This window comes from Homo sapiens, chromosome 3 (assembly GCF_000001405.40).
Source record: "Homo sapiens chromosome 3, GRCh38.p14 Primary Assembly".
NCBI classification, from domain to species: Eukaryota; Metazoa; Chordata; class Mammalia; order Primates; family Hominidae; genus Homo; species Homo sapiens.
In genome coordinates, this window is record NC_000003.12 from 111,139,856 (window position 1) to 111,152,397 (window position 12,542).

A 12,542-nucleotide genomic window follows, 5' to 3' on the forward strand; every position below is an offset into this window, starting at 1 on the left:
TAGCTATCTGATAATATATTTAACATGTTAATTTTTTCTCACTAAAACTAAGACTTGGGGAAACAATATGATTGCATTTCATTTTAAAAGTTAACTTTTTTATTACTAAAACATTTTTGGTAAAACTACATGATTAAATGTTCTTCATGCATTTTTTATTTTCAATTTTATACTTTCTGATTCAGTGATTGAAAGGTCTGATATCATGGTCAGTGCATGTTGATATTTGGTTTTTAGATGTGATAACTAAAATGCCACCTCTCAAAAACAAATAGATTCAAATGGAAGAAGTAGATTGTTTGGATGTTAACAGTTTTCATCCCAACCACTATTTTTAGAGTTTATCTTTATGTTCTAGATATTTGGTTGTTCAATGTCTTGCTAATCAATAACTTCTCCTTCACATTAGCTACTGTTTCAGCACATTATAGGTTTAGTGTGAGGTTTATTGTTAATGAGTAAATGTAAATATATTTTAACTGGTCTGCTGATGCATTTGATCTTTTTTTTTTTGGTTGACTTGTTATATCTGGTTAGATTGCCATGCAAATTTTACTTCATACTGTAGCTAACTGATAAAATTTGTGTATTAAGAGTAAGATATTTGTATTGCCAGTTATTAGTACCAGTATTATTAGTCTTATGTGGGGTTTTTTTGCCAATTATTTGCAGGAATGATACTATGAATAAACTCTTATTAGTATATAACATGTAGATTAGCACTGATATCTCCACAGAGTCCATGTGTCTTAGTTATTTACCTGTTACATGGGACACTCATACAATTCTTCCTTTACATTTTTGACTACTGGTTAAATCTAGATAAGTTATTAGTTCACTCAGCTGAGCTCTCATAAATCGTGTCACAAGATGTGAAGGAACAACCAAGTGAAGGGCTGTCTACTTAATTTTCTTCTGGAACTGTCCCATTTCACTCTCCCCGTAGATACAGTGGGTGCTCTGTGTGGCAGGAAAACACCTGATACTTGGACAAGGGGAGTAACCAGTGCCAATCCATGTATTATATACTAGTAAACAGTTATTTTCATGAAATGTCTTTTTTAAAGATAAGTGGTAATATTTCTATACTTCCTGGATGACATATATTTCATGGATTCTTTCACTCTACTTTGGGGGATTTTGCTATTACCACGTAAAATTCATCCCTGCATTCCTGGCACTTAGCACAAGGCCTGACACATACTAGGTGCTTGGGGTAATTTTTTGGATGAGGGGCTGAGGAGACTGACCTGATCCAAATAGAGCATCTTAATAAAAAAGTAGTGAGACATAAATGTTCATGTGGATATAAAAGCTAATAAGTCATATTGAGAAAATAAACATTAAAGGGGCTATTACAAATGAAGAATGGGATTATTTATGGGGGAAAATTGGTAATACAATAATATATAGTATGGGAGCAAATCAAAGGTGGGAAGATAACTTTGTAGGCCAACACATAAACCTGTGATGTCATCACTAAAGTTTTGTCAAAGGGCCTGAAGAGAAAAAAATAGGGCATGTCTCAGTTTTAGATGTGAATTAGGTGTACACATATGTTTCAATAGCTTTACTTTAAAAATTATTTGTTTTTGAATGATAAAAATACTTCAATTTATTATTTATAATATTTTTGTACTTTTTTCCAAAAAGTAATGAAAGTCATTTCTTATATTCATTTTTTATTAGTTGATAACTAGTTGATTTTTAAACATCTTCCCCATAAGACATGTGCATGCTATCTTTTAATTAGGTGTGTCAGTATACTCTTGTTGTGTTGGAGAATGCTCTTTTTCTATTTTTGGAGGTAAGTTTCCAGTGAATATGAGTTACCATTACTACTGTGATAACAGCAAGCTGGTCTTTTTTTAGAAATGCATGCACCACTCTTTTAGTGGTAATTATTTTATAAGTTTTGTCTTGTTTTCTGCCTCTTGTAAGCATATATTGCTCTTAATAGAACATCTCCTTAGGTCGATGGTAATGTTTCATGTCATTCACTCAGTAAACTACCTTAGTGTTTAAAAATGCCATGTTTATACATTTGGTCACTTAATTTTTTTCCTCTGTAGTGGTTTTATTGGGATATAGAGTCTATGAAGTATGTATATGTTTATTTGGGTTGGGAAAAGGGGGAAACAGTGTTGAGGCTAAATTCTCAATTTTCATCAAAATACTTGTCTATTTGGGCTGAGATATGTGCGAAACAGTGTTGGGGCTAAATTACCAATTTTCATCAAAATACTTGAATGCAAAAGATTCGAGCTCCTCCTTTGCTTTCATACTGGTTTTCATCAACTGTTAATACCCTTAAATTATTAACACCTTAAGTACTTACCTTTTTTCTCAATTAGAATCAGAAAAGAAAACATGAAATATATCCCATATGCTTATTTAGCATAATCATTTGACCTACATAAAGTAGATTATCTAGTGGGGAAATAGATTCATAGCTAGTTTTTCCTCCATTTGCTCATTTCAGCAGCTACCAGCCTATTCTAATACTACAAAGAGGTATGGGAGAAAGAGGATACATATGATAAAGAATGACTGGAACCAGGTGAAATGAAGATGTCCAAATTAAGATAGAAGGAAGTGTTGTGATATAGTCAACTCTCATAGAATCCTAGAGCTAGAAATTATAAGACTAGTGTGACAAAATTGGATAGATTGTAATTAAAATGTTTAAGAATATATATTTAGACAAGCATTACTTCAAGATATTAAAAATAGTGTCTATTTAAAGTTGGAAATTAAGAGATTAAAAGTCTACATTATGTGGTTTTATTACAGAGCACTACCAAACCTCAGATTATTGTTGAAGTTAAAGGCTTTCTTAGAGGAAATGTATAGTTTGATAAAAAATTTATAATGATCTCTAGATTGAGAATCTTAATTTAGCCCCACTCAAAGAGTAACATGAACTTTTCAAAAGTATTTTTGAAAAAAAACCTTTACGGTATTAACATTGTCATCAAAATAAGAACAAAAATTTAAATTCTGTACAGTTGGGCAAACATGATAGGTCTTCTTTAGCAAAAGAAAAATTTCCAAGAGAGGAAGACCTTTAGAATAATTGGTGTGGAGTAAATAACGTACTTGACAATTAGTATTTTTTATTTGTGCCACTGACTAGAGATGTATGACCTTGGTCAAATTGCATAACCTTAATAGTTTCAACTGGCCTACTATTAAGGATTGAGTAGGACCATCTACTTTATGGCTGTGTTCAGTGGTCAAAGTTATAATCTATATGGTGGGGAAAAGGATAATATAGATTATCCGTAAGTCATCCCAAATCTCTCTCACATTTACAAGTGCAGAATGATATTTGGCTGTACTGGGTTTCAATATTTTTTTTAATCTAGTACATATTCAAATGGAGATAGATTAGAAAATTGAGCAACAATAGATAAACCAGGCTGGTATTAGAAAATGAAGGTCACCATGAATGACAGAGTTATAATGTTTCAGAATCTATTCATTGGAAACGTTATTGAAATGAGTGACTTGGACTTACTGGTTGTAAGATTTTTATTTCAAAATGAGCTAAACAAAATGAGCCATTAATAAACTTAGGATTGTTAGTATTCTAAAGACATTTTTATAATTTGAAAGAAAGTAAAACATTCTTTTTGGCAATCTAAACTATGTTACCCACATTTAAACAAAAACAATTGGAAAATACTTATAAATATGTATTTATATGGGAATACTATCATGGTAAGTAGATGAAACATATTTCAAAACCAATAGTGCTAGTTCTGTAACTTTGCCGTGTCTGGGTCCCAACAATTATTGCAGTTATTTAAGAGTATATGTGAAGATTATGTCAATTTAAGTAAAACTGAGACCTCTTCATTAGTCGGCGTTATATATGTTAACAAAAACATTCTTCTCTTCCAACAAGGGGTAATAGTGGAGGCTTCTACCCTGCTCCAACCTAACTTTATTTCTCTCTGTGTTCTCTACTATTCATTGATTGAATGGTCTTGGCAGATTATTTAACTTCAGAGCTGCAATATCTTTATTTATAGAATATTATCTCAGTATCTTTTTTTATTGGTAAGAAAGACAAAAACAAAATCAGATGTGTGAAGGAACTTTGTAATTCACAAATTCCACAAAATGTAGTTACTGGATTTAATATAGCGAAATTGTCAAAGTAATACTTACACGTAAAGATTGTTTTGTTACATTCCTTAATACTTAACATTTGAAAATATGTAGTACTTGTAATAGTTTTAGTACATTCCCTTATTTGGGAGTTCATAAAATTGTAATTCAATTTTTTGGAAAAATGTGAAATGCTAACAGCCAAATATGTTTTTTAAATCCTTTCTTAAAAAATTGTGGTGCAGTGTGGGAAAGAGAAGTTGGTATTCAGAAATGACATATGTCTATGGCCAGGAGATAGGAAGAATTTCTATTTAAATGTTGTAGTAGAGAAGCTATTTTTAGTGCACTTTGTATTAAATGTGCATGAATTAAGGGAAATTTTGTGCAAGTCCTGTTTTAATATTAATATTTAAAAATATTTTTCAAATTTTACAGTGTCCAATGTCAATTTTTTTTGATCTGGGATATTTTCTGTTTTGCACTTGAAGTTTTTCAATTTTGTTAATAAATTTTTTTATTTTAATAGAATAAAAGTGCTAAATGTCTGTATTACTGGTCGTTTATATTAGAGAATATTGATTTTTAAAATTACCTTTTAGAGTACAAACTTAAAATTACTTTCATCTTTTTCTCTCTCTTCTTCTCCAGGTACTCTTTACATATCGAGAATATATTCTCTTGGTGATGTTTGGGGATATTTACATAATTTTTAAAAAGTTAAGCTGAGGTATTAAAGTAATATAAGAAAGAAGGAAGGGTTTTAGCATAATGCCACTAAACCTAATGAATGAAATTTGGGGTCCTCTAACCTGGCTCTTGGATAACATACTTCAGTCAAATAGTTTGCACATTGTAGAAAAGGTATGCAATTTCAAGAATTATTTTTAAGATTATTTGAAAAGCCTAATTTTTGTTACTTTACAGATGTTCCATTTAAGCAGACCTCTTCCATAGCTGTAGCTGGAGCGGTAATTGGAGCTGTTCTTGCCCTTTTCATCATTGCTATCTTTGTGACTGTGCTGCTGACTCCTCGAAAAAAAAGACCATCCTATCTTGACAAAGTGTAGGTAACTTTTTTGCCTTTGTTCAACTATGAATATCAGTATGTGTCCAATCTTTATGTTTACCTTTACAGCTCCTCATAAAGAACTTAAGGGATAGAAGTAAGGATAATGTTAGGCCTTTGTTAGATGACCGTGGTTTCATCAGAATATCTCAAACTATATCTTGCTAAATGAACATTTTCAAGGGGCTGCTAGAGGTATAGAACAGCTTTACATTTTTCACCTAGAGCATATTAGACATCTTTATAAAGGGTAACATAGTAATACTTTATATTGTCCTGCCTTCTGAATAGAAATGTAAGCCTTTCATGAAGTGGTAACCGAAGGACATATAAAAATATCTTTGAAGTTTTAATGGCTTCTTCATATTGTATATGCATGTCTTATGTATAGATATAACTGAACTATCAAGTTATTAAATACATTGAGTTTTAAAAATTTTTTCTTAAGAAAAATACTCTTTTTGGTGACTTATAAAATATACATCTTCTTATTTAAAGAATAAGCAATATTTTTGACCTAGTCATTGAGATAGAGTTGTAAGGCAGAAATTGCACCTTGCTGTAGAATCAGATGACCAGTGTCTCAGTTCTCTTAATTCTATCAACAGCTTTGTTGCTTCATCTGAGAAATATGAATAATGCTCTTCCTACTTACCTCACATGGTTGAGATGATAGTAGAATAAGATAATATTTTATAAACTGTGAAGCTCTTTACAAACGGCATTATTTCTTATGTGGTTTATTAATGTTTTTATGTTGGGACATAAGGTTGACTTTCAAAGAATATAGTTCTGTCTTCATAAATGCTTTGTATATGTCTTTGCTTCTCTAATTTGGCACAATTATAGCACTAGTCTTTGCATCAAAGACATTTGTGTGTCAGTTACAGCTCTGTCATGATCAAATTAGTACTATGACCATGAACAAGTACTTTATCTCAATGAGCCTCATTTTTTTCACCTAAATGGCCTATGGCACCTTGGAGCTAGAAATTTGCTGTGATTTTCGTTGGATTAGAAAAAACAATTATTTTAAATAAAAGATGATAAAATGCTCTTTCAGTATAATACTTGTGGGACTGGAGTGCTTCAGTCTTTCAAGAGTGACTAGCGGCCGAGCGCGGTGGCTCACGCCTGTAATCCCAGCACTTTGGGAGGCCGAGGCGGGCGGATCACGAGGTCAGGAGATCGAGACCATCCCGGCTAAAACGGTGAAACCCCGTCTCTACTAAAAATACAAAAAATTAGCCGGGCGTAGTGGCGGGCGCCTGTAGTCCCAGCTACTTGGGAGGCTGAGGCAGGAGAATGGCGTGAACCCGGGAGGCGGAGCTTGCAGTGAGCGGAGATCCCGCCACTGCACTCCAGCCTGGGCGACAGAGCGAGACTCCGTCTCAAAAAAAAAAAAAAAAAAAGAGTGACTAGCATGTGGTTAACTTAATTCCCAGATTATCTTGGTTTTTCTATAATTTCAAAAACAATTTACTGGTAGGTTAACAAATTAATGTAACCATTTTATTTATCACTTAAGTTTTAATCATTTAAAATACTAGTTTATGCTCATTGAGACATTATTAGACCACAGAGAATTTATTACTTCAGGATCTATAGCTTTCATTCCCTTTATCCTTTAATACAGATAACTTTTTGATTTTCTAAGCACAAGTACTGAAAATGTTATCTGTGATCTTCAAAAGCATGAGACTATATTTATAAAATTTTGTAAAATGCAGAGAGCTATAAGGTATATTAAAACTATCTTTGTTATAAGTAAACTATATTTAAAATATATGAAAATGTTGATTTTCTGATAGCTCATGTAACTTTGGAAAAAATAAATGTGTTCCCTAAAAATGTAATGGTTATTTTGTTTATTTCAGATGGCAAGATTTATAATGGTCTGTACGTTGAAAATATAATTGGTGAATATTGTAATAGTGACTAGAGCTTTTGAAAATCAATTTTGGAAGTATTTCTAAAATACAGTGTAAACATTTCTCATGACACTTTGGAGGAAAGTGTATTGAGACTCTAAAATGTTGATAGACATAGTCAAATATTAAAACATGCACTAAAGTAAAGTCATATACTGGATTACTTAATTTCAATTCTTCTATTTTAATTCCTTCTTTAAATGTGATTGGTTCTCCATATGGCAACCTTTAACACCAATGTTTACTTTTATTTTTGATCTTTGATAGATTAATGGCAATGTAAGAACTGAATTAAGCAGGTAGGCTAGAGTAAATATTATCTATATAATATGAGGAAAATATTCTCAAAACTTATGAGAACCTTGATTTTCTTTTGCTTTTTTTTTTTTTCCTAAATGTGACAATCACATATTTTAACCTTTGCAATGCAGGATTGACCTTCCACCCACACATAAACCACCTCCTCTGTATGAAGAACGATCCCCACCTTTGCCTCAGAAAGACCTATTTCAGGTATGTGTTCATGAGTACACTTAAGATAATGTAAGATACAATTTAAAAAATACTAAGCCATTTGTATTATTTCTTTCAAAATGTTGTTTAGTCATTATGCATTAAGTGTTGTTTAGTCATTATGCATTAAATGTTGTTTAGTCATTATGCATTAAAGATTACATAGCAATACCTAAGTTTTAACATGCTCAGTCATTTCTCTGAAACATTTAAGAGATCAAATTTTGTCAACAAACAAGAAGTTATGGCCAGTATAGATAAGACAAATCAACATTATATTAGGCTTTTTACTAAATACTTGTTGAAGACTTACTGTTAATACAGTTTTATTGACATACAGATTTATTGTAAAATAAAAAGTAGAAAATGAATATCTGTTGAGTAGCATGAAGGGCTTCTTTTCCTTGGAGTGTACTATATTTTATTCTATTTTGGAATCAGTTCACGTTAATTCATGTGAAAGTATTGATTCAGTGCTTCTATCTTGTATTCTATACCTGGATTAATGTGCTGTATTTGGTATTTGGGAAAGTTGTAAACTATCAGAATATTTGAATTCTTTGATTCTCAAGTTTAGTGGTTGTGTTTGTATGTTTGTTTTGTCTTTTTCTCTATCACCCATACAACATGTTGGATCTCTAAGCTGTACTGGGGTTGTATAACCTCTGGGGGCATAGTCTATAATACTTTCCTCCTAAAATATGTCCTGTATCTTCAGCCTGAATAAGGCAAATCATTAGCCCATCAATTCATTGATTTAATTTGGTGGAAAAATTCTAAAGGAATGTTTCTGCCAAGATGTTCTCAGCTTTTGTTCTTCAGCTGACCATATAGTCAGTTTACTGTCCAAGAATGGGGCAGGAAGGAGCATTCCCTGGCACATGGGCCCACTGTCAGTGGGCACTAGCTTTGTCATCTTACACAGTTAGGTGTCCTGATGGTGAAGATGTGCCATGTTTTCAGACCTTTTGTTCTCACATAAAGAGTGTAGTCTCATCTCTTGGCAAATAAATGAAATTGACAAGTGGTGTGAAATGTCATAAAATTCTTAGCTGGAGCTGTTGTTGTATTTTGTTTTGTTTTGGTTTTGGTCTGGATTTGTTTTTTTTGCCTGTTAGATAACTGAAAAAGTAGCTCATTAAAATGTTTTGTAGATTCCTGGATGAAGTTGATCTGCTTTTCATGATCGATTGGTTATAGGTATTAATAGTTCTGTAAATTATCTTTTTGTATCATTTTTCAGATTTTTGGTTTCTTTTTGAACTTTGCTTCTTAGTTTTTTAGGAACTCTTTGATGTGGATAGTAATCTTTTGTATTATATTCATCTCTTATTTTTTAACCTTATAGTATCATATAGAAAATTGTACGTTTTTATGTAGTAAAAATCTGTTTGTCTCTTTGCTTGTATTTGTTGGAAGTTCTGTATTGTCTGAAATGGCTTCCTTACATTTCCTTCTCTCTCCTTGAACTAGAATGTAGAAAAAAGTCTTAGAAAACTAATAGTTTTATGGTTTATATTTCATTTTAATCTGAAACTTTATTAAACTTGATAAAGAGGTAGAGACCCATTTTTCCCAATGGGATAACCAGTTGTCCAAATACTTCTGAATTACCTATACTTTTGCATGGTTTGAGAGCACTTTTATCCTAAAATAAATTCTCATACATATTAGGTCTGTTTCTGAACTCTTAATTCTGTTGTATTGCTATGTCTTTCTCTTCCTAAACCAAGATACTGCTGTTTCAATTACTATTGCTTTATAATATGATTTGATATTCAGTAAATTCCCTTATCTCTGTTCTTCTTTCAAAATTTTTCTTGACTTTTCTTTTCTCTGTCTACTTCAGAATTACCTTCCCAGATTCCATAAAAATTCTATTGAACTCCTGAATTAATTTAGTAAGAATTGACAACTTTACAATAATGTCATTTCTTCCCATCTAGAAACCAGATAAGCCTCTATTCTGGTAGGATGTGTGTGTGTGTGTGTGTGTGTGTGTGTGTGTGTGTGTGTGTGTGTGTAGAATCTCTTTTCTGGTACGTATTTTCCACATTCCTGTTAGGTTTACTTTAGGCATTTTGATAGTCACTGGGATTTCTCTCCACCCTCCTCCCATGGACTTTTTAAATTGGCTATTAGCATATAGAAATGCCTGTTTAAAAATATGAATCTTATATGCAGCCTCTTTTATCAAATTTTTTATTCATTCTAATGCTTTCTCATTTTATTTTTTTTTTTACATTTCTTAGGAATATAATCTATTTGCTGCAAATGACAGTTCTCCTTTTTATCCCTTGCATATTGTGATTTTTCAGGGGAATACATGTGAGGGGCTTCCTTATGTCATTCAGTTTTAAATCTGATATGAAATAATTGAAGACTAGTATAGAATTTCCTTGCATTAAAATTTTTGAAAACACTGCATTCTATGAATAATGCTATTTTTTAGCCTTGATTTGGAAGAATTAAAAACATTGTGAAAACTATTTTCCAAACCAATTAAAATGATCTAGGGAACTTTTTTAGGAAAACATATATAGTATTTTGAATATAGTTGGATTTCCGATATGGAAAAATCTGAAAGAAAATGTAAGTCTTTTAGAATATTCTGTGTTTCAGCTAAAATAGTATTTAATCTTAGAAATCATGATCAGGAGATTCCGTGAAATGGATATTTATTTGACTCTACTGAGAATGATAATAGTAATTTCAGTCTAGCAGCAATATTATGGGGAATGAGGCTTTTGAAGTTATTTTTACAGTGCTGACATATCATGTTAATAAAAGCTTTTCAATCGCTTGAACTATCAAGAGATTTTCTCTCCTGATACCTATTTTCACAGTAGTTATCTGTCAGATGATTTTTGGTAAATTTTTAATTTTTAACAATCCTAAAACCGTTTTATGAACAGTATTTCATGTATAAGAACACATGTCAGTTTTCATGACTTAAGACATTTGGTTTATATATACACAAATATGTATATTTGTGTATGTGTGTGTAATTTTTCTATGTGATGAAATGTAATATATGCATAAAGTACTTGTATGAATGACACAGAATATAAAAAGCTTATTGGTGTGTTTTTAGGTTCCACATAGCAGCTAACCTTAAGAAACTACCACTTGTAACATTTTAGTTTAGTATTGCAGAAGTATTTTTCTAATTATCTGAAGACTATTCAAATAGTCTCCCTTTTCCAACTAATGTATTTGCGTGAAGCTTTTTTTTTTCTTTATATACTTCAACTAAACAACATATTACGGTAGACTGAATGCTGTAGCAGACATGAAAATCAAACTTTCCTCTTTTGACCCAGATATTAAAAGGTTTATAAAATTTAGGAGATACTGTTTATATTAACCTGTAATAGGTTTCCTATTCTTTTTAAATGAATTAAATTTTTTAAAACTCTTAGTTTAAATGAATAACATGATAAATATAGATAGCTGTTATTCCTGTAAGTGAAAGTGCTTGGGGTCCTCAAGATGTAAAAGATCATAAAGGGGTCGTGGGGCCAAAAATTTGAGAACTGCTGTTGTAAACTGTAAGCAGTATGAAGGCAGGGGTCATGTCACTATTGTTTAGTACCATATTCTTAGTGCATAACACAGTGCTTGGCACATATAAGTACCTGATAATTTTTTTAATTTGACAGATCAAAATTGTATATTTTTATGATATACAGCATGCAGCGTGATGTTTTAATATATGTGGAATAACTAAATCAAGCAAATAAACATATGCATTACCTTATGTATTCCGATAAACAGGTTTTGAATGAGTAGGTAAAGGAATCAAGCCCTTTTTTATATTCTCTTCAGTTTATAATCTGTTAAAATTTCTGCATCATTTATAATATCCATATCACAGATACTATATTTCAGTATATTTAATGTCAGTGTCTATAATATCACTGTATCAAGTATGAGATATCAATATATAATGTATGAAAAAGAACAGAGAAAAAGAGACTATAGAAATATTTTTAAATGTTAGCAGTTATCTTTGTAATAGACTTCTCAGTGAATATTATTTTTGTTATATTTTCTGTAGTTTCTGTTTTTTCTGCAGTGCCTTTCCCCACCTCTGTAAGTAGCCTTTTAGCATAAGAAAATAGAGATCTATTGAACACCTGAGTCACTGGCCTGGAATGTTAAGCTGGTCATACTGGTTATGCAGTGTGTCAGCACTGTTAACTATCTGAGAAAACTGAATTTCTTTCCAATAATTTACTATAGTATATTGCATTCTTTAGTAAATGTTTGTAAATATTCATGACAGTGTTAGTAGAGAAAGAATGTTTTTACATTTTTTTAGTGTATGGATAATACATACAAAACAATATAAAGAGGTGTTTTCTAAGGTCTCATTCCTATACCTATTTACCCTACCCCCATCTACAGATAACCACTTTTATTAATTTATGTCTTGGCACTGTTTCTTTAAGCATAGACAAGAAAACACACACACACACACACTCAGGTGCATTTTAATTTATTTCCCCCCTGTATAAAAGTAATATATACATATACCTTGTTACATATCTTGCCATTTTCTCCTAAAATATACTGGAGATCTTTTATTATTGAGATGCAGAGAGCATTCTCAATCTTTTTTATGTCTACGTAGTATTGTAATGCGTGTATATTACATAGTTTGTAATGTCAAAAGATTTTAATAAACCAATAATGCTGTAATGAATTGCCTGGTATATATGCTCTTTTGTATGTATGCAAGTATAATCTGCAGGGTAAATTTTTAAATTTTATCTTGCTACATCAAACAGTAAATGTATTTATAGTTTTGATAGATATTGCCAAATAATCCTCTGTAAGAATTGTACTATTTTGCACTTCTACCAATAATATATAAAAATACCTGTTTCTCCACAACCTCACCAATAGTA

General features: G+C 31.4%; 1 protein-coding gene across 3 annotated transcripts in view; it reads left to right on the top strand.

Moving 5' to 3' along the window:
* Positions 1 to 12,542, top strand: part of NECTIN3 (nectin cell adhesion molecule 3) — a 122,355-nt gene that overhangs the window by 68,040 nt on the left and 41,773 nt on the right. For all 3 annotated transcript variants that reach the window (NM_001243288.2, XM_017006123.2, XM_017006126.2), the window contains 2 exons: positions 5,044 to 5,182; positions 7,548 to 7,629. In NM_001243288.2, the coding sequence (NP_001230217.1) occupies positions 5,044 to 5,182; positions 7,548 to 7,629 (221 nt within the window). The remainder of the gene's footprint in view (positions 1 to 5,043; positions 5,183 to 7,547; positions 7,630 to 12,542) is intronic.